The sequence below is a fragment of the Homo sapiens genome, chromosome 3, assembly GCF_000001405.40.
Source record: "Homo sapiens chromosome 3, GRCh38.p14 Primary Assembly".
NCBI classification, from domain to species: Eukaryota; Metazoa; Chordata; class Mammalia; order Primates; family Hominidae; genus Homo; species Homo sapiens.
This window is the reverse complement of record NC_000003.12, coordinates 15422553-15443833: the sequence shown is the minus strand read 5'-3', so window position 1 is coordinate 15443833 and position 21281 is coordinate 15422553. Positions and strand designations below refer to the sequence as shown.

At 41.9% G+C, this 21281-nt stretch overlaps 2 protein-coding genes and 1 pseudogene across 23 annotated transcripts in view, besides 2 other annotated features; 2 read left to right on the top strand and 1 right to left on the bottom strand.

Moving 5' to 3' along the window:
- Positions 1–1220: 1220 nt before the first annotated feature.
- On the bottom strand, positions 1221–16236 carry EAF1 (ELL associated factor 1). 3 transcript variants are annotated; one of them, NM_033083.7, is made up of 6 exons: positions 15952–16236; positions 13827–13921; positions 11611–11747; positions 9296–9486; positions 7259–7492; positions 1221–4725 (listed from the first exon to the last, which is right to left on the bottom strand). In NM_033083.7, the coding sequence occupies exons 1-6, from the start codon at positions 16052–16054 to the stop codon at positions 4679–4681; spliced, it is 807 nt and encodes a 268-aa protein (NP_149074.3). In that variant the 5' UTR covers positions 16055–16236; the 3' UTR covers positions 1221–4678. The 3 variants fall into 3 exon arrangements, with proteins under 3 accessions (NP_149074.3, XP_011532467.1, XP_011532468.1); XM_011534165.2 differs by lacking the exons at positions 11611–11747; positions 15952–16236 and adding an exon at positions 15207–15512; XM_011534166.2 differs by lacking the exons at positions 11611–11747; positions 15952–16236 and adding an exon at positions 15212–15512.
- Positions 10618–10723, top strand: RNU6-1024P (RNA, U6 small nuclear 1024, pseudogene; annotated as a pseudogene).
- Positions 15880–16159: an enhancer, noted in NCBI's record as "active region_19534". NCBI's record gives its function as "activates an Ori minimal core promoter by ATAC-STARR-seq in GM12878 lymphoblastoid cells {active_cell/tissue: GM12878}" and the evidence as "EXISTENCE:reporter gene assay evidence [ECO:0000049][PMID:35858748]".
- Positions 16156–16319: a silencer, noted in NCBI's record as "fragment chr3:15469022-15469185 (GRCh37/hg19 assembly coordinates)". NCBI's record gives its function as "represses an EF-1alpha promoter that drives an FKBP-Casp9 reporter gene in an ReSE screen in K562 erythroleukemia cells {active_cell/tissue: K562}" and the evidence as "EXISTENCE:reporter gene assay evidence [ECO:0000049][PMID:32094911]".
- Positions 16191–21281, top strand: part of METTL6 (methyltransferase 6, tRNA N3-cytidine) — a 46369-nt gene continuing 41278 nt past the window's right edge. For 9 of the 20 annotated variants that reach the window (XM_005264867.5, XM_006712972.5, XM_047447450.1 and 6 more), the window contains exons 1-3: positions 16290–16432; positions 17199–17547; positions 18745–18879. In XM_005264867.5, coding sequence (XP_005264924.1) covers positions 17323–17547; positions 18745–18879 — 360 coding nt within the window. In that variant the 5' untranslated portion in view covers positions 16290–16432; positions 17199–17322. The other 11 variants (XM_017005719.2, XM_017005723.2, NM_001301790.2 and 8 more) reach the window with 4 other exon arrangements.

Below are 21281 nucleotides of genomic sequence, written 5' to 3'. Positions count from 1 at the left end.
TGGTCTCAAACATGGCAGTCACAGGGCATGTGAATGTAATAGATGGCATTAATAGCCACAATTCTTCCCACCTCCCTGTATCTACACCCTTTCCAATCTCTTTTTCAACTCCTCCCATCAATTTTGGGGAATGGATTTCCCCACCCCTTCATTCTGAACTTAGCTCTCTAACTTGGTTTGGCCAATGATGTCTTAGCAATTGTGACAGAAGTATTTTGGTTCCTCTCTTACTCTTACACCTCTCTGCCTTTGCCATGACAACATGCCCAGGCTAGGCTGGTGGAGATGACATGGAGCAGAGCTGTTGCCCCCACTCTGCTGGCCAAAGCCATCCTAGATCAGCTGAACCTCAGTCAACTGCCAGGCCTATGAGGGAGCCAATCAAGACCAGAACTGTCCAGCTAAGGCCAGTCTAAAGCCAACTCAGACTTGTGAGCAAAATAAATGCTTATTAGTCATTGAGTTTTGGGATGGTTTGTTACAGAACATTACAGTGGCAATAGTTAACTGAAGATAAAACTCCCTTCAGTGATGGACACCACCACTTCCCCACTGAGATGGTTCAAGTCTAACTCCTATTACCATCTGAGGGAACAAGCACATTGCAGAATTAAGTAGCAGAGGATTTCTAGACTTAACACGTAATTTAATTCAATCCAAATATATTGAGCACCCATTAGAGACACTACAGCGAATTAAAAAGGAATATGGCCACTGCCTACCTAGAAGTTTATACAGTCTAGCAGAGGAGCCAAGACCACAGGTAAATGTGAGCACTGCTGAAGCAGAAGTGGAGAATGGAAGCAGGAGGTCAGGATTTCTAGCCAAATGTCAGCTGGGAGTCAGAGGTGTGTGTGGCATAGCATTCCAGGCAGAAGGAATCTGGTAAACTAAAATGACAATAGGATATGTCTAGGGATTCAGTTTAACTGTTGCATGGTTCTCAGACCCAAACTAAGCCCTCCTTCTCAGACCAAGTAAAATGGCCTCAGATGTAATTCAGTTTTGAACTTCATACCTTTTAAAAACTGAAGTTCGTCCTTCAGTTTTGAATGTCACACCTTTTAAAAGCTGAGGTATACTTCCTAATGATTATAAACACCAAATTAAAAAGGAATCCATTTAGTTAGCTATTTAGGCTTAAGCACAGAAGGTTCTTAAAAGAACCCTATATTGCTCATTGATTTCTAAAAGAAAATGAAACCCACCAAGACAAGAAATGTGTTGCTGACCTTCACTTTTATTTAAATATAGTGATCTTTTAAGAGAATAAACAAAAAATACTTTACACAGCAAATATTTTACATAAATGTAAACATGCATGTCTACTTCATAATTAAGCAAAAAAACTTTTAGGCACAAGATTTTAAAAATAAAGAATGAGACAATGAAACCAAGACTGGAATAACAGAAGTAACAAAAACTCACATTTCCTAACTCTTCAATTGGTCTTGTCTTCCAACCTATTGGTTAAGGCCTGAGTTTCAGAAATCCTACCTTCCTTGCCAAATAGAAACATCCACTTTGGCTGTATATAACATTATCCACATAACACACTAATTCTCTTTCAAAATAATGTAATAAATATACCATTCATACACACACACACACACACACACACACACCCTGCTGAACCAGCCTCTCAAATAGGAAAATAAGGATTTTGGAATTTTCAAGTTTTCCTACAACCAAAGCACATACACACACATTAACACCTTACATAGAAAAAATGATTCTGCTACAGAAATAAAATCGTTAGTGAGTGGCATGATTACAAACCTCTAGTTCATTTGTATTAAGTTTCTTCAATCACAACTTTACTAAGGCTTACTAAGCGCCTCTGACACTTCAGATTTAATTAAGTTTTTCATCTCATCTAAATGACCCACAGTACAGTAGACATTGTACAGCACAAAAAAAAGGCAATTTTAATAATTCAGTTAAAGACTTCTAAATCATGAAAGTCAGCATGGATACTTTCAGCTGTCTCCAAATGCCTGGAATGTTTTCCTATGTCTATCCTCTGCACTTCACTGGCTGGGTAGTCTTCTCTGCCTTCTACCCCACCAGGCTACAACCATTTGAATGTCCATTCCTGTGGATACCCCAGGGAGGAGATGAGAATGACAGTCCCTGCTTTTTTTTTCCCTTTTTCTTTTTGTAGAAACAGGGTCTCGCCATGTTGCCCAGGCTGGTCTCAAACTCCTGGACTCAAGCAATCCTCCCACCTCAGCCTCCCAAAGTGCTGGGATTACAGGCATGAGTCACCACAGCCAGCCCAGTACCTGCTTTTAAGGAGCTCATACCGACCAGAGTTCAAGCAAAAAAAAAAAAAAAAAAAAAAGGTCAGTATGTACACACAGGGCACTCCATGTGGGTTGAAAAAAAAGACAAGAGTCCACAAAGATGGTACCCACAGAACCTCAAAAGTGGGGTATGGAGGGAGAGAAGGAGAATGAGAGAAGGCACAGAGGCAGGAAGAACAAGTCCGGTTTGGCTGGCAGGAGGGCATCTGTGAGAAGCCATCTGTGAAGCCAAATTCTTGATTTCTAAAAAGAAAAGATTGCTTACTCTGGTGGGTAAAGCTGGAGGGCAGAGGGCAGAACCACCAAAGGCTTTGTGCAGAGAACAAAATTGAAGCCGTGCTAGAGAAAAACCATACAGTGTTGGGCAGGACAGATGACAGGACAAACGGTCTGAAGCTCAGGAAGCTTGACTCACCAAGCCAGTGCCACGTGCAAGCATTTCCTATAGAAACACGTCTTGACCCAACATGCCAAAAACCATAGTTCTGTCTACAGAAATCAAGGCTTTCAGAAAAAAGTTGGGGAGGAGAGAAAGAGAGAGAGGCTTAAATAGATATTTTTAGTTCAAGTTCCTGGAACCTGCCCCAGTTTGAGCAAGTTAAGAGCAGTGAAACAATTCCTACATCCAGTAACAATTCAAGTCTCCTGATCATGACCTTGTGAAACCTTCCCTGAGCTGTCATTACCAAGGAATTATAAAGCAATTATCAATCCACTATAAATAAGTTCCTACCTGCCATTAAATCCACCAAAATCTCATGATGGGCTGAGAGCCCAGCACGGGGTCCTAGCGTAGACCTATTACCTACACTAGGGTAGGTGGTGTGAGCATGCTGCTGGGCAGTGGCTCTCTGGGCTCACTATGATGATGAAACAGTTGACTCTATGAAGTTTAACTCTAATGAAAGCCCCTATGACAGACCACCTATTTCCTTTCTAAGTCCAGACTGCTTCCCCTCCACTAGCTGGGGAGGGAGAGGCCATATGAGTGGAGGGACCTGTGGAGGAAAAATTATTATTACTACCTTGATGTCCGCTGAACCAAAGTGGATGGAAATTTCTCAGGACATATTCATCCAAACTACAAAAACAGGTTACTCCATACTGATTACAGGATGATTTATCACACATTCATTAAATATAGAACATTGACTAGCAACCAGTTTCCTCCAACAACAGATCCATTTGGAAATGGCACACTGTAGAAGGCAATCTTGTGACTTCCTTCTAGTTGTATATAAAAAATACAAATCGGTCAGGGAGTCAGGTACAAAACAGTGGTACAAAAGCATGAATAGATACGCCTTATCAAAGAATGTGCTCATTTCATATTGCAGAACTTCTATCTAGATTCTGATTTTTAGAAACTTACTGCTGGTTCATTTGTTCGGAGAGGTTTCTTCACACCTCTCTTCCACTCCTACCTCCCCTTGCTAAAATCCACTGACTGAAGAATACTTAGTATGGATCCACATGGAACCAAAATCCCCAACTGAATGGAGTCACATGCATCAGCACAGTGGCTACCGGTTTCATCTGCTCACCCAGCCTCATGTATTTAGGGACTGAATTCAAGCTAGAAGCACCCAACACTTTTGTCTTTTGGAATCTAATCCAAGTGCCAATGTACATCTAAAAGTCCCATGTATAGGAATCTCTTGATTCCTACAAATGAGATTCAAGGGAGAGAACAGTGAGGAAAGCCCAGAGAGGGGGCAGGAGACTGGCCACAAGCCAGGTGTGTACTTCCCTTTCTTAGTCTGTAAATGACAGGTTGAGCTGGCAGGACTCCATGGTCCTCACCAACTGACACTCAAGGACTCCATTCTGTATTCTGAGGTCCATTTCTATCCAGGCTTGTCAGGCTGAGTCAGACAAAACTTCCTTACCACTTTGTGTCAACAATTTAAAGTGGTTTTAACATACTTCTATGATGTAGTTTGAGGTTTTCCCTCTCTCTCCTACCCATCAAAGACTTCATTCCACTGGTACCAACCACTTGGCCAAACTGATGGCTGCTGAGGTTTAAAACTGAATCTCTGGCCTGGTGAAGATATGGCCTTTGAGTAACTTAGACCAGGGCACATTTATCTGTTTTTCATTAACAATTTTAACTAAATAGAAATATAATTCTGTTAGCTCTTCTACAGGTCTACTTAAACTTTGAAAGATGAGATTGTTCAAAAATGACACGAGAAAATCACCCATCACCACTAAGTTAAAGACTTGAATATGTGAGAGTTCCAGAGCCTCAAACTCCTACTACAGTCACTGATCCATAACATTTTCCTCTTGCAATGGACTCCACGCCAAAGTAGCTCAGTCTTGCGGCATGTTTGTGCACCAAAAAGTAGGTTTCGAAAGATCCAGCACTAGTCATCACTGTCACTGCCAGACTCACTCAACTGCAAGTCATTTCCTATTTAAAAAAAAAAATAAAGTAAAATCATAGAATCAAACAAAAGTACAGAATTTAAAAATGACTTCCTCATAATTTTTTGTTAATTGCCTTGGCTATCACACTACAGTAAAACCTTGTTAATTCAACTTAGGGAAGAAAATCAAATTGGCTCACTGAAACAAAATGGTGCTTTTGGTTATCTACAAAGCACAACAATACTGCATATTAGGGTAGAGCAAAGGAGAAGTAAGCTGGATAACTTTTAAATGGTTTAATAAATAGCAAGAAAATATTTAAAATATGTCTGGGCGCAGTGGCTCACGCCTGTAATCCCAACACTTTGGGAGGCCAAGGCAGGGAGATCATTTGAGGCCAGCAGTTGGAGACCAGCCTGGCCAACGTGGCGAAACCCCATCTCTACTAAAAATATAAAAATCAGCCACGTGTAGTGGGACATGCTTGTAATCCCAGGTACTTGGGAGGCTGAAGCAGGAGAATCGCTTGAACCCAAGAGGTGGAGGTTGCAGTAAGCCAAGATTGCACCACTGCACTCCAGCCTGGGCGATAGAGTGAGACTGTCTCAAGGAAAAAAAGAAAAAAGAAAAAAAAAAAAAAAGAAAATATTTAAAATAACTGATCACCATTCGGAAGAACTGATCACATTAAGTTGCTTTATAAAGGCAACTTAAGAAAATATCCGGTAGGCTTCCCATTAAGAAAGGTGAATACTGTTAACACCAGTAATATGCTAATGCAGTATCTGCTCTGGCACACCTCTGTCCAGGATAGTCACGTTATCTTAAATTTCAAATCTGAACTAACGTGCTTTACAAAACCCCAGATTCCTGTTTACTAGGCAGAATTTAGAAGAATATAATTACTTAACATTTCAATCTAATACAATAGGAATACATATAACAGAACCCCAGTTGATACCACTTGTAGCAAAAGTGATTTTCTTTATTTCCAAATTGCTAATCTCTAGGCCAGTTCTCCTCAAAGTCTATTCTGAGGACTCGGGGTTCCATGAAACCCTTTCAGGGGGGTCTGATCCTGAGGTCACCCCTTTTCTAACTACCTAGAATGCCAGATTTTCTTCATATACTTCAGTCTCTATGTTAAAGATGGGGCATATAATGGCAATGTCTTGAGATATTTTTGGTTGTCATGGGGCTGGGGAGGTGGGAAGAGACTGGTACTGGCATCTAGTGGGTAGACGTCAGGGATGCTCTTAAACATCCTACAATGTGCAGGACAACCTCCCACAAAGAAGACTTATCTTGCCCAAACTGCCCATAGTGCTGAGGTTGAGATTATCTCTGCCTGGTCCACAATAGTTGGATTAACTAGGTTAACTTCCCCACTGTTACCTCTAGACCTTCCAACTTCCTTAAAGGAAGGTGTACCAAGAGAGAACATTCATCAGGGTTCCAAAAAGAGAAAAGCATAGAAAATTAGCCCTCTGTTCACCTTCAAAACAAATAAATTTTTGTTCTTGTTTTCCTGTTTTACTTTAGTATCAACTGCATTAAAACACACCGAGGCCAGGCATGGTGGTTCATGCTTTTAATCACAGCACTTCGGCAGTTGGGGAAATTACTTGTACCCAGGAGGAGTTCAAGACCAGCCTGGGCAAAACAGTGAGACCTTGTCTCTACAGAAAATTTTAAAAATGGCTGGGTATGGTGGCTCATGCCTATAATCTCGGCACTTTGGGAAGCCGAGGTGGGTGGATCACTTGAGTCTAGGAGTTTGAGACCAGCCTGGGCAATGTGGCGAAACCCTGTCTCTACCAAAAAAAAAAAAAAGGATCATGCCGCTGCACTCCAGCCTGGACAACAGATCAAGACTCTGTCTGAAGGAAAAAAAAAAAAAAAAAAGCCACCACACTGTCTGGGGACAGTGGATTCTTTTTTATAAAAGTTCAAGATAGGCAGGCATGGTGGTTCACACCCATAATCCCAGCACTTTGGGAGGCCGAGGCAGGCAGATCATTTGAGGCCAGGAGTTGGAGACCAGCCTGGCCAACATGGCAAAACCCCATCTCTACTAAAAATACAAAAATTAGCCAGGTGTGGTGGGACATGCTTGTAATCCCAGGTACTTGGGAGGCTGAAGCAGGAGAATCGCTTGAACCCGAGAGGTGGAGGTTGCAGTAAGCCGAGATTGCACCATTGCACTCCAGCCTGGGCGACAGAGTGAGACTCTGTCTCCAGAAAAAAGACCAATGGGCAGAGAGCAGTATGGTGGCAGGTAGCTCCCCGAAAGTCTGGTATAAAAGCAAAAACAGCCTATCTGTTCATGTTTTAGTGTTTTCTAGAATTCACAAACACCGGTATGAGCCAGTGGGGAATAGAAATAGAAAGAACAGATTTTTCATCTCATTTCCCTTTTTTACTGTTTAGTAACTCACACCTTTCTGCTCCAAACTATTTTTAACAAGATCCTCTCCCATGCCTTAAACATCTTTAGGTTTGTAAGTTCTGGCACAGGATAAATAGAAGCTGCACCTATGGCCCTCTCTCAGCCATAAAAAGGAGTACACACTTACTGAGGGTGTTCATGAGCTGGTTGCTTCCTTGTGGCCGGCTGGTTCCATTGGCAACGGCAGGCCTACTGTTGTAGGGCTGCTGGTGTGAAGGCTGCGGAGGAGAGGCTGGGCCATTGTCCTCGCCTCCACTGCTGGAGCTATCGTCATCACTTCCCGAAGAGCTCTCAGAGTCTGAAGAGCTGCTCCCACTGCTGCTGCTCATTTGTTCAATAATGTCAACTTCAGCCCTCAGCTCTGGAATAAAGGATATGACATGGATCAGCACAGCAGCCCTTTTCAAGGCAGTGCATTGGAGCTTCTATAAATAGTAAATCAGCAAAACCAACAGCAATAAGAAATAATTTAAAACAAAGTCCTACTTCTCAATACCTTAAAAAATGTACAAACAAAATTACCAAAACAAAAACACAGCCTGTTTCCAGAGACACAATGGAAACATTAAATTCACTCAAAATAAATAAAAAGCAAGACTGTTTCAGAATAATGGCTGTTCTGTGTAAGAAATGAATTAAGTCCATTTGCCTTTATCTACTAAAAGAAAAATTATGAATATTATGAACTATGGGATAAAACCATAATTCCCACATAAGAGAAGACAAATATTATGTAAAGTGGTTGAAAAATATTTGACTAGGAGTTGGGAGGTCTGAGTGCTTGTTTTGGATTTACCTCTAACCAGCAGTGACACCTAGGTAGAAGTCAATGAATTTTCCAAGCCACTCTGGAAAAATGAAAACCAGACAGCCTCTAAGGTCCTTTCCAGCTCTCATGTCCCATAAATAAATGGAGGTTTGCAGGAAGAACCATGGTGACTAAATAAAAATGGTAAAACAATATTCTTCCTCTTCACTCTTTACATATTTGACTGACAGCCATGCCTGTCAGGTACTGCATTTTTTACAGATATAAAATATCAATGTTAACTAACCATTTCAAGAAAGGCGCCAGATTTTCCTGTCTAGGCATACCATGTGGCCTTAAATGGCTATGGCTCCTTTAAGCATAATTGGCAACAACTAACCACTCATGCTCTGATTCCTATTCAACCTAAGTGAAAACTTCCATAACAGCATTCCAGTATCCATGAGGAAAAAAAAAAAGGGACAAAACAACTGTACACAGTGCAGAGTGATGTCTGCAGCCGTTCTACAGGGTGGAAAAGGCAAATTTCCCAGGGACAACTCTTTATGTTTCCCTACTATTATTATGGATTTAGTTATTTTATAAAACTTATAAATATGAAATATGACCTCACAACTTCTAAAGAGTCTGGAGGACTAAAACCATTCATCGTGTGAAGGAGAAAGCCAAGGTAAGCTTTTTTGTCTCAGGTTTGCAGTGGAGAGAACCAAACTGGACCTTTAACTCTTTCTAGGCCAGTATCTGTTTCTATTGGTCCTCATGGCCTCTTTCATATTTACACACTTTGTGTTAGCACAGGACATTTGCTTATGGTATTTTAAAAGGCATTTTAATCCTTTTTTTCCCCCCAAAAAAGAGATGTTATTGCCCAGGCTGGAGTTCAGTAGCTACCAACAGGCACGATCATAGCACACTGTAGCCTCAAACTCCCAACTTCAAGCGATCCTCCTGCCTCACAGTAGCTGAAACTACAAGTGTGCAGCACCATGGTCAGCTCCTCCAGCCTATATACTAATGTAGAGCTCAGAAAGGTTGCCACCTACGCTTAGTTTTCACCTCCAACACCTAGAATCCTTTCTTTCTCCGAAGCCTTAGAGGTGTGCCATATGGAGCTTAGATGGAAGTCATGCTTGTTTAAATCCTAGGCCTCTAAGCAGAATGGCTACAAAGATAGCCACAAACTCAAGTCACTATTCCAGGACTCACCCTTGTCAAATGAGGTAAGTGGCAGAAGCCCCCACCCTCCCCATCTCTGAACAGTGAGCTCTGCAGACATTTTTTTGATGGCATTGAATGCCCCAGCCACTGTATCAATACAGCAGCCATGTGATCTCCACAAGAAAATTCAGCACTCTACTCCAAGTTGCTATCATGGATCCAGAAAATGTTCTCTACCTCTTTTGATGTCATCCAACTGAGGTTCAGGTGAGGGGTTATCTTTCAAGGGAGAAGTTTTGGGTCCAACTGGAGGCTTCGTTGGAGCTCTGAATGGCATAGGTGGTGGAGGTGGTGGTGGCTGTGACGTCTGTGGAGGACGAGTGGGCTGCTGTTCCATTCGGGCCTGGATTTTACTGCTGCCCTCAGCTCTGAAAGGAGATACAGACATTAAATTAGCAGGGCAAAAATAGTGGTTCTCAAATTTGTCCAGGTGACTGAAAACTCAGAAGTCTCTGTAGAACCCCATGTTCTTTCCAGACCACTTCAAAATACTGATACTTGTAATTTTGTCATGTGAGCTATTCATTCAACATTTGAGTGTCTACTGTAATCCAGTACTATATTATGTATCAGGGATACAGACATGAATAGAATATTTACTGCCCTCGATGAGCTCAAATGTATAGCAAACAAATGTAGGATATAATGAAACTATGAAAATCCATTTTACTAGTAGAAAATACATTCATGCATCCCTTAACAATGAGGGTAAGTCCTGAGAACTGCATCATGAGGTGATTTCATCATGCAAACAGCAGAATGTACTTATGCAAACCAATATAGCATATAATTTTTTCACATGAAAACCCAAATGTCCCACCACCATAATTGAATATCAGTCATTCCCCCTACTTGATCTGCAATGCCAATATCAAGTGCCGTATATCAGGTTTCCATACATGCTCCATTAGAATCTTAAGGGACCACTGTCATATATGTAGGTCACTACTGACCAAAACATCATTATGTAATTATAATCATGAGTGCATGAGTTCCTAAATAAAGTAGCTCCTAAAATATTGCCCAGCTTGAAAATTTTTTCCATTATCTATATACTGCTTGTTCATTTCATCACATGCCAGCTCTTGCTGGCAGACAAGCAGAATTCCATCCCAAGCTGAGAATATTCTATCAGTTAACAATTTCTTTTGTAAATGGACTAGCCTAGTGCTTCTAAAACTTTTGCTTATGCACAAATCACCTGGTGATCTCTGCAGATTCAGATCTCATAGGTGTTGAGATTCTGCATATCATCTAGGTAATATGATACTGTTAGTTCCCATATCACACTGAGTAGTAAGGGAATATACCACAACCATCAGATATTGGAGGAATATCGGTAGCACCTGGTTCACTGTAGGTAATGAATACAAATAAATAGAGTGGCAGGACAGGAGCAAGGACTCTGCAGCACACTCTCCGGGGTAGGTCAAGCTCTCTAACCCTCAGTCTCCGTACCTTTTTTTTTTTTTTTTTTTTTTTAGATAATAGCACCTTTCGTACTCACTTCGGCAGCACATATACTAAAATTGGAATGATACAGAGAAGATTAGCATGGCCCCTGTGCAAGGATGACACACAAACTCATGAACAATTCCATATTTTTAACAAAAGAAGTAAAAAATAATAATAACACCTTTCTAAAAATTACTTGTTAGATAAAACAATGCATATAAAGCATCTAGCAGAGTGCCTGGGACATGATACCCCCTCAATAAATGGTACCTATTTTTATTTTCTGTGGAATGAATGAATGAAAAAAAAATGGCTTAACGAAGCATAAAAAACATCAGGTTGTGACAATCTTTACAATTTAATTACTGTATTATAATAATTACTGTATTATAAGTGAGCTATGATTATGCCACTGCACTCCAGCCTGGGTGACACAGCAAGAGACCTCGACTCTTTAAAAAAAAAAAAATACTGTATTATATGGTAACAAATAGAACCACTAGGTTATTTCTATTTATAGAATGAATTTTTATTTTCAAATAAACTCTAACTGGCTTCATTTTAGACATGTAGCAACTGTTGAATTAAAGAGTTCACTATATTAAAAAATAGGCAAAGTTTTATTTTGGTATTATAGTAATCTCAAATGTATCTTGTAAAAAAATTAATGTTTTCACTCCAGTTAAGTATAGTATATATTGCTCCTTCATAATTATAAGTCTATAAGTTATCTTATCCCTTAGGTGGTACTGTAGCAATCATGAGATTAACAAAATAGGCTTAATTATAAAGTATATCCCCCTTTCCCTAATGGTTCCCATGTTTTAGGTCTTAAAAAACATTATTTCTTTTTATTGCATTTGAGGAAGACATATTTTACTCTGAGCACATATTTACATATTTTGTCTGAGCACAGGTAGTGTTAAGATTATTGATAGAACACTATGAGCAAGCAGATGTTCACAACCTTATAAAAACTGAATAGATAACAGAGGTTTGGAAACATGATATAAACCTGCATCTGGCTATTCACATACCTTGTTTTCTTCACCTGAATGCTGCTACTGAGTTTTTCCAGCACATATTCACCAGTGTCATGATTAATAATAAGCACACAGTCTTTCTGGTAAGGCCGTTTGTTCCCCTTGAACACAGTCATGGGTGGTGTGGATCCCTATTTGCCACAAAAGTATAAGATGATCAAACTAAACATACCAGTTATGAATATCAACTGAATTTATAGATGACTCCACCTGATGAAATCTTTTATCAGAGCTATTCAAAAAGAACAGGTTGAACTGATTTCTATTTTATCTCCTTCTGGTTTCCGAGGCAAAAATAAAGGAGAAATAATATAGCAAGAATTTGTGAATGTGCAACGCGTTCTAAGTAATCAAAAAGGTAGTATAAAAGTTTTAATTACTATATACGTTCCAAGAGAGAAAAATTAACCATTACTTTCATTATACTAAGCAGAGTTATCACTCTGTATAGTAAAACTGTGAGTGATCTCTATTTCTTTGTCATTAGAGAGACCAGGGTTTCCCCTTCTCATGTCAAGCAACCAACAGAGCATTTTCCAAGAGAAGGTCATTATCCTGGTTGGCTCAGAATAAATAAATCATGTCACTCATCTGCCTAAGCCTTTCAATCACTCCTCAATTGCTCTCAGGCCAAAGGATAAAATCTTTAAACTAGCCACTTGGCCTTGCACTACCGGGCCCTTCCCTGGCTCTCCACCTCACCCTGCAGCATACTCCCCTGCGCATGTGCTTCAGAGCAGAAGGCAACTGGCTTCCCTCCTATCCTCAAGCTCTCTCCTGCCTCTGGGCTTTAACAAGGCTTCTGCCAGCTTTAACAAGGCTTCTGCCAGCTATATCCTGCCCCCTCTCTTTAAATGACCCAACCTCCAGATCTGCTCACAGATACTTCCTTAAGGAAGCTGTCCCTGATTTTGTAGAATAACTGCTATATTTTCTTGTATTAATTTAAACTCCAGACCATAAGCTCCACCAGGGCAAGAAATGTGCTTGTTTTGTTCAAGGTTATATACTTCATGCCTAGTAATGGGCCAATGTGTGGGAGGCATTTGATTAATATTTGTTGAATATCATATTTAATGCCTTGCTTAGAATAAAAAACTGCTTGGCTCTTTGACTCCTTATTTATATAGTAAAAATATAGAGCTAGAAAGAACTTTAGGGACCATTTTTCTAAACCTTTCATTTTACATATGGGAAACTAAGGTCCAAAGGGAGATGATGTAACTTGCCAAAGGTAACAAGTAATCAAACAGCAGTTTGAATGGGCAATTTTTCCTCACCACAAAGCTTTCCAGATCTCCCTGTCCAGAGACTTTTCATTCTGTCTCCAGCTACCGAGAACTTATGTTCCAGGACAGGGGTGTGACATGCAATAACACATGTTCACTAAGAGCATCATGTGACCCTTTGGTGCTTTGTCATTAGTGCTGCCTTGGGCAGAGCTTCACAAAAGTCTTTCTCTGCAAGGGTTCTTAATCCAGCTTTCAATTTAGTTCTTCATCCCTAAATCAGCTGAATGTGCCACACCTGTGGTTCCTGCCTGCCTTAACTCCTGGCTTGGTTGCCTCACACTCCTGAGCTGTTGTGGCCATATAATCAGCAGGGCACCTAGGGCTTTTCTGTCTGGAGTTGCTTGGGAGAAAAGCTATATCTAAAAGAGGGGCTAGGTGTCCAGACAGGAACCTTGTCTACTCAGTAGCAGATGGGGGAAAAGGAAGATTGGGGAAAACGACGAATAATCTTTTTTTTTTTTTTTTTGAGGGGGAGTCTCACTCTGTCGCCCAGGCTGGAGTGCAGTGGCGTGATCTTGGTTTACTGCAACCTCTACCTCCCAGGCTCAAGCGATCCTCCCAGCTCCGCTTCCCAAGCAGCTGCAACCACAGACATGTGCCATCACCCCCAGCTAATTTTTTGTATTTTTGGTACAGACGGGGTTTCACCATGTTGCCCAGGCTGGTCTTTAACTCCTGAACTCAAGCTATCCACCCACTTCCACCTCCCAAAATGCTAGGATTACAAGAATTATTTTTAATCAAGCACCTGCCTAGCATGAAGTCCACCCCACCCCACTCCCCAAAATTACTTTTTTCCTTAAGTTGCCACTTTAGAAATCTAAACATTTTTAAAAGTAGGAAGTTTAAATTGCAATAATATAAAAGACAAAGATTCATTGTGATCTTACATTAAAAAAAAAAATGAAATAAACTCACAGGGATATGTGGCAGTGTAATTGTGACTTCATCTCCTTTGCCAACTTGAAGCTCTCCTTCACAGGAAGTGTCTATAGATGCTGGTTTAAAATCATCTAAAGGGAAAGGAAAAAAAGCACTTACCCACCAGGTTACTTATAATAAGGGTTTCCTGGGCATCTCCATTTAAGAATTAAAATTATTACTCAGATGAATGGAAAATAAAAATAATTTAGAATTCTTAAAAAACTGTTTCGTTATGGAAAACTTCAGATACACAAAAGTAGAGAGAATCGTACAATGAGACCTGGTATACCATTATCCAGTTTCAATTATTACCAACTCAGGGACAATCTTGTTTCATCTACACCTCCACATACTTTTCCTCTGACCCCCTTTTGATTATTCTAGAGGGAAAAAAGAATTTACAGGCCATTTTATTAAACAAAGATATTCCCTTCTCCCAAGGGAGAGAGGAAAATTGTCTCATCATCCATAATAAGTTGCTTTTTTAGGGTTGTGAGGATCAAAAGTAACAGCATATGAAACAGATTCTGTGACTGTAAACTCTATATGAAATATGAAAGGCCACAGCATCATCAAAAGCTGATTTCATTCCGCATAGAAACTGTCAAAATTAGGATTTGCCATACTCAAGTTCCATAGCTGTTTTTTGTTTTTTTTTTTTTTTAATAGTGATGGGGTCTCACTATGCTGCCCAGGCTGGTCTCAAACTCCTGGGCTCAAGCTATCTGTCGACCTCGGCCTCCCAAAGTACTGGGATTATAGTGTCAGCCACCACTCTCAGCCAGTTCCACAGCTTTAACAAAGACACTTCGTAGATGTTCATAGCAGACAACTGAACTGTATCTCCGCAAGTTATCCTGCTCGTGTTTCTAAACTGCAGTTAGAATACAACATAATAGCCATCTTAATTCACATTCACACCTGCCTCAAACTGCAGGACAGGTGCACACATGAACTATATGATTTAAATTCCACATTGCCCTTCACCAAAAGAAAACATCAACTTAGTAAACTCTTCAGGAAATGATGTTCTTATCTTATTCCCATCTCTTCTCTCTGAAAGAGCTGGATCTGCTGTCAGTAGGAAGCATAGCAATGGCATGGCAAGTGACTACACAAAGATGGGATTTCATTATCTAAAACGCCCTCTTCACATGTGTTGAGTCACATCTATTAGGTCCTCTGACAAAAACAAGTCTTAACAACAGCGTTAGCACCACGGAAACCAGAAGTTCATGAATCACGGAGGGATGCTCTGTCAGCCAATTCCTAACTGCCAAACCTTCACCCAGGACATAGGGTGGAAGTGCACTCTCTCAACAGCGTCTATAATTATGTAGAAAAAGGTCCGGCATAATGACTATTTGGACATTCCTTACGCCTGCTCTCTTCTGCTTCCAAACGTAGACCAATCTTTAACCTATCCCAGGCTCACGAACTCTGATTTGACTCTTTACCCACAAGGAACTTGGTCTGGAGGAAAAGCCCGGGTGGTATAGGTGACCTCAAAAGACATCCAAGTCAAATGAAGCACAGAAAGGAGATGGAAGAAGACTCTGATGAGGCGCAGAGAGGATGCCAATTCTTTGGCTGTAGAGGGGACAAAGCACAGTATTTGGGAGTCCAGGACCAAGTCGGAGGAGAAAAGCAGGGAAGAGAATGGGTTCTAAGGCAGTGGATGAGGCTCATAACAAACAAGAAGCGTCTTTTAAATGTGGAGAACCCTGATGGGAGCATCGGAAAGGAGGGGAGGGGTTTCGAGGGAGAAGTGGACCCGGATAAGAGGGGGGAGGTTTGCCTTGGGGGAGGGAGGTTTGCCTTAGGGGCGAGGTTGGGGGCGGGGAGGGATGGAAATGGAAAGAGGCCAAAGACCTTTGGAACTAGTGTTTGAGACTGTGAGGTAGAAGAATAGTAGGGAGTGACGAAGATTTGGGAGAAATAATCTGGGTAAAAGAAGGGACAAATCGATGTCCCAAAGGATTTGGGGTTCGAGAGAAAGTAACTGACGCTGGCAGGGGGTTCCCTGGAATCTGAAGGGCCGAGGGAAGAAAGGAAGGAGTCAAGGTTGATATGTGGCGGCTGGAGCGGCCGAAGGGAACCGTGGGGAGCGCTGACTTACAACGAATAGTGTGGAAGGAGGCCCGCGGCCGCTTCTCGAAGCTCTCCCCGAGCCTCAGGCAATGTTCCTCGCGGTCCAGCAGCGGGTTTGCGGTCCCATTCATGGCCCCGCACCTGCCTCGCACCCAGATCGGCGCTCTCCCGGTGCAGCCGCGATCCGAGCTTCTGGCGCTGGCGTCTGGGAGGACTGTGCTTCCGGGCCACCGCTCTGGAAGACAAGGAGAGCCGAGCCGGCACCCACCCGGGTCCAGAAGCAAGTTCTCTCCTCTGCGTGGGGGTGAGAGAGGAATCTGAGGAGGCAAGGCCGTGGGACTTCCGGCGTCGGGTAGGAACTTCCGGGTTCCTAGCGGAAGTGGCGGGGGCGGTGCCATGGCAAAAGAACTCCCGGATAATCCGAATTCGTGGTCCTCAGAATTGGTTTAGGGTTGTTTCGCGGTTCTTCCCGTATTCTGCCTCCGAGGCCCAGTGGGGCTGGCTGTGGGGTGAGTGCGCCTGGCCCTAGCCCTGCAGGTGAATTTAGGAACTGATGACGGTGAGCCCTGAGCGTGGCTGACTAAATTAACGCGGGTCGGCTAGCCATCATGGACGCCCTCCTCAGGGTCTAGGGGCCCATGCAGCCTAGTCTATCCTGAGGGTCCTGAGATGGATCCTCGGGACCTCAGCCACGCGTCATTGGGTCTCTTTCTCCACTTTGCCCGGTGATGGCGGTGCGAGGGTCTCAGTCCCTGCAAAGTGACGCTCCCTCTGGTTCCTATGACAGCCTCTTGTGAGTGTGATCAGGAAATGAGCCCACCCAGGCTTAGCTTCATTTCCCCCGAAAAAACGGAGGTCCGACCCTTGGGAAACGATGACCTCACTTGTATCTGACAATTGACCACCCGCTTCCAGCTAAGGCCATTGTGGTTTTTAAGTCACCCCTTTCGCGGGCACCGAAAATTGAGGAATATTTTCTTCGCAAGGTTTCCCAGTCAGTTCTTGAGAGCGTCCTTTTTCGTAAACTAAATCGATTTATTGTAATAGTTGACTCATCTGGTTTGAATAAAAGTATGGTGCATGAGATAGTCTGGCCACTGAAATGAATGTAAGCCCACTGAAGGTAGGGACTGTGTGTTTGTCTTCTTTGTGACCTCTCATATAGCGGGAAGGATTTTTTTTTGTACAGTCTGCATCTCATAAACATTTGGTGAATTGAACCTGGCGTCTTGAACTGTAACCACTAACCAGAATCTAATTCTTTTCTCTGCGAAGCCCCCTGTGCTGTTTGAGGCGTGAAACTCACCTCAGGAAATGTATCTGATCCATTAGCGTGGATTCATATTATTTGGTGATGGAGAATCTTCAGCTGTGTTAAGTGTTACCGTCAGTTTCAGAGATGGCTTCTTTGCAAAGGAAAGGGCTGCAGGCAAGGATTCTCACCTCTGAAGAAGAGGAGAAACTGAAAAGAGACCAAACTTTGGTGTCTGATTTTAAACAGCAGAAATTGGAACAAGAGGCTCAGAAAAATTGGGATCTTTTTTACAAAAGAAATAGCACTAATTTCTTCAAAGACAGACACTGGACCACCAGAGAGTTTGAGGAGCTAAGATCATGTAGAGAGGTAAGCTAATATTACGCCTTATCTGAGCTGTTCTTCATTTAAAATGTGAAGAGGGTGCCATGGCTCATGCCTGTAATCCCAGTACTTGGGGAGGCCAAGGCAGGCGGATCACGAAGTCAAGAGATCGAGACCATCCTGGCCAACATGATGAAACCCCGTCTTTACTAAAAATACAAAAATTAGCTGGGTGTGGTGGTGCTCGCCTGTAGTCCCAGCTACTTGGAAGGCTGAGGCAGGAGAATCGCTTGAACCCGGGAGGCGGAGATAGCAGTGAGCCGAGATTGTGCCACTGCACTCCAGCCTGGTGACAGAACGAGACTCTGTCTCAAAAGAAAAAAAAATGTGAAGAGGTGTGCTGTATTGCATTCCTAGGGAGAGTGCGAAGTAGAGAATTTAAGAAGCCTATCAAAATGCTTTGCGTTTTAGGAGAGAAATATACTGTTTGGTCTTAACACCAAAGTTTTAGCAGTTTCTGGTTTGGTTAACATATAGGAGAGAGAACTTTAGTGGGTGTTTTCTATTTCTTTAAGCTGATCTGATAGTTGTAAACATTATATATTAAATTCAAGAGCCAGGTCTGGTGGCTATTGCCAGCTACTCCAGAGGCTGAGGCAGGCGGCTTGTGCCTGTGAATAGTCAACATGAATTAGCCAAGCCTAGGCAGCATAGTGAGACCCTATGTTCTGAATTTTAAAATTTTAAACATTAAAAATTTTAAAAACAAAAATATAAATTCATGCTAAGTGACTTCAGTGACAGATTCAGAATAATATAATAGTTAATGTTAGTAACTATTTACCATGGCTGTTTTCTACATGGCCTATCATTTGACCCTTATACCGGCTCTGTGAAGTGTAAGTATTAGTATTGTACTCATTTGTCCCCAAGGTAAAATTGAGGCACAGAGCTGTTTAAGTGATTTACCCAAGGATAGAATGCAGGGGAGGAGTTGAGATTTGGGTGCTGGCAGTTTAACTCCAGAGCCGAGTTAGCCATTGTGCTGTTTTTTTCCTCCACACCAAATTGTTAATGTTGGATGACAAATGAAGTACCAGTATTAGCTTTTGCTTATTAGTTCTCTTGTTGATCGTCTGCTCCATGGGGTCGGAGACCTCTCATATTCTGGACCTTTTAGTTTGGTTTATTTCTTCATTATGCAAATGTGATATACTATAACTTTGAGCTGTCTTTCCCCAGTTTGAAGATCAAAAGTTAACAATGCTTGAAGCTGGCTGTGGGGTTGGAAACTGTTTATTCCCACTTTTAGAAGAAGATCCGAATATCTTTGCCTATGCCTGTGATTTTTCTCCAAGAGCCATTGAATATGTTAAGGTTGGTGCACCATCTATGTATTCTGCTGTGTTTCTGTTTTCTTGCCGATCTTGTTTGATCTGCCTTTTTTATTCATTTGCCCAATTCTAGTCTTCCCTGGAGCTAACCAGCTATAGTCACCATACATGTAGTTGTCCTGCTTACATACATATACAGTGCATGTAGAAACACAGCTTTATTCAAGAAAAGCAGGAAAAAATACCATAATAACATCCATATAATTAACATCTTTTGCTTTACAATTTTTCTTTGCTGAACTATTTTAAAGTATATTACAAATGTCAAGACATTTCACTCCTAAATGTTTGCATACATCTCCCCTTAAAAAAGGCCTTTTTCTACACAACCACAATAAGTTTATCATATTTCACAAAAATAACTATAATCTGGCCTGCCATGTTGGTTCGCACTTGTAATCCCATCAGTTTGGGAGCCTGAGGCTGGTGGATAGCTTGCACCCAGTAGTTCAAGACCAGCCTGGGCAACATGGTGAAACCTTGTCTCTACCAAAAATACAAAAATTAGCTGGGCATGGTGGTGCTTACCTGTAATCCCAGCTAATTGGGAGGCTGAGGTGGGAAGATCACTTGAGTCAGGGAAGTGGAGGTTGCAGTGAGCCAAGATTGCAGCACTGCACTCCAGCCTAGGTGACAGAGCAAGACTGTCTTTAAATAAACAAATAAAATAACATAATCCCCCAATGTTATTAACATCCATTCCAAATTCAGATTTCCCCAAATAGTTCCCGGTGTCTTTTAGTTTTATTTTTTACTTTTTTTAGAGATGGGTTCTTTGTCACCCAGTTGAAATGCAGTGGCATGAACATGGCTCACCACAGCCTCAACCTCCTGGGCTTAAGCGATTCTTTCACCTCAGCCTCTCAAGTAGCAGAGACAATTTTTTAATTGTTTGTAGAGATGGGGTCTCACTATGTTGCCCAGGATGGTCTCAAACTCCTGGGCTCAGGTGATCAACCTGCCTCAGCCTCCCAAAATGCTGGGATTACAGGTATGAGCCACTGTACCTGGCTTCCAGGTGTCTTTTATAGCTGGTTTTTGTTTTTGTTTTTGTTTGAGACATGGTTTCACTCTCACCCAGGCTAGAGTGCAGTGGCCCAATCACAACTCACTGCAGCCTTGACCCCCCTGGCTCAAGCAGATCCTCCCACCTCAGTCTCCCAAGTAGCTGGGACTACAGGCATGTGCCACCGTGCCCAGCTAGTGTTTATTTGTTTATTTATTTATTTTAGAGATAAGGTCTCACTGCGTTGCCCAGGCTGGTCTCGAACTTCTGGGCTCAAACAATCCTCCCACCTCAGCCTCCCAAAGTGCTGAGATTACAGGCGTGAGCCATGGCAGCTGACCCTGGCTAGTTTTTAAATTTTTGTAGAGATGAGGTTTCCCTATGTTGCCTAGGCTGGTCTCAAACTCCTGAGCTCAAGCAATCCTCCCTCCTCAGACTCCCAGAGTGTGGGATTACACCCTGCCTATAGCTGTTTATAATCCAGTCAAGCACTACCTCTTACACTTATGTCCTTTATTTTTTATTTTAGTTTATTTTTTGAGACGGAGTCTCGCTCTGTCGCCTAGACTGGAGTGCAGTGGTGCAATCTCAGCTTACTGCAACCTCCACCTCCTGGGTTCAAGTGATTCTCCTGCCTCAGCCTTCCAAGTAGCTGGGATTACAAGTGCCCACCACTCCTGGCTAATTTTTGTATTTTTAGTAGAGATGGGGTTTCGCCATGTTAGCCACGCTGGTCTCAAACTCCTGGCCTCAGGTAATCCACCCGCCTTGGCCTCCCAAAGTGCTGGGATTACAGGCGTGAGCCACCACGCCTGGCTCACTTATGTCCTTTAAATCTCCTTAACCTAAAATACCCTTGCCCTACCCCATACCTCTTTCCACATTGATGACAGATGAAGCCAATTTTCTATAGTAAATTTCCAAATTGGTCTAATTGTTTATTTGCATTACTGTTTAATTTATTCCTCTATGTTCTATATTATCTGTGAACTAGAAGTTAAATTTAAATCAGGTAAAATATTTTTGGCAAAAATGCTTTAATAGGTAATGTTGTGTCTTGCATATTACATCCTGTCATGAGGCAATAATATCTGGAGATCTTACTGGTTTTGATCACAGGGTTAAGATAGTAACTACCTAATTCCTCCATTGTAAAATTCCCTTTGCCATTAACCAATATGTGGGGAACACTTTGGTGACATTGCAAGTATCTCGTTCCCCATCAACCTTTCACAGTTTTAGCATTCGTTAGACTTTTTAAAATTTAAACTTTTTTTTTAAGTTAATCTTATTATTATTATTTTAATTGACATGGTCTTGCTTTGTCACCCAGGCTGGAGTGCAGTGGTGTGTATTAGAGCTCACTGCAGCCTCAAACT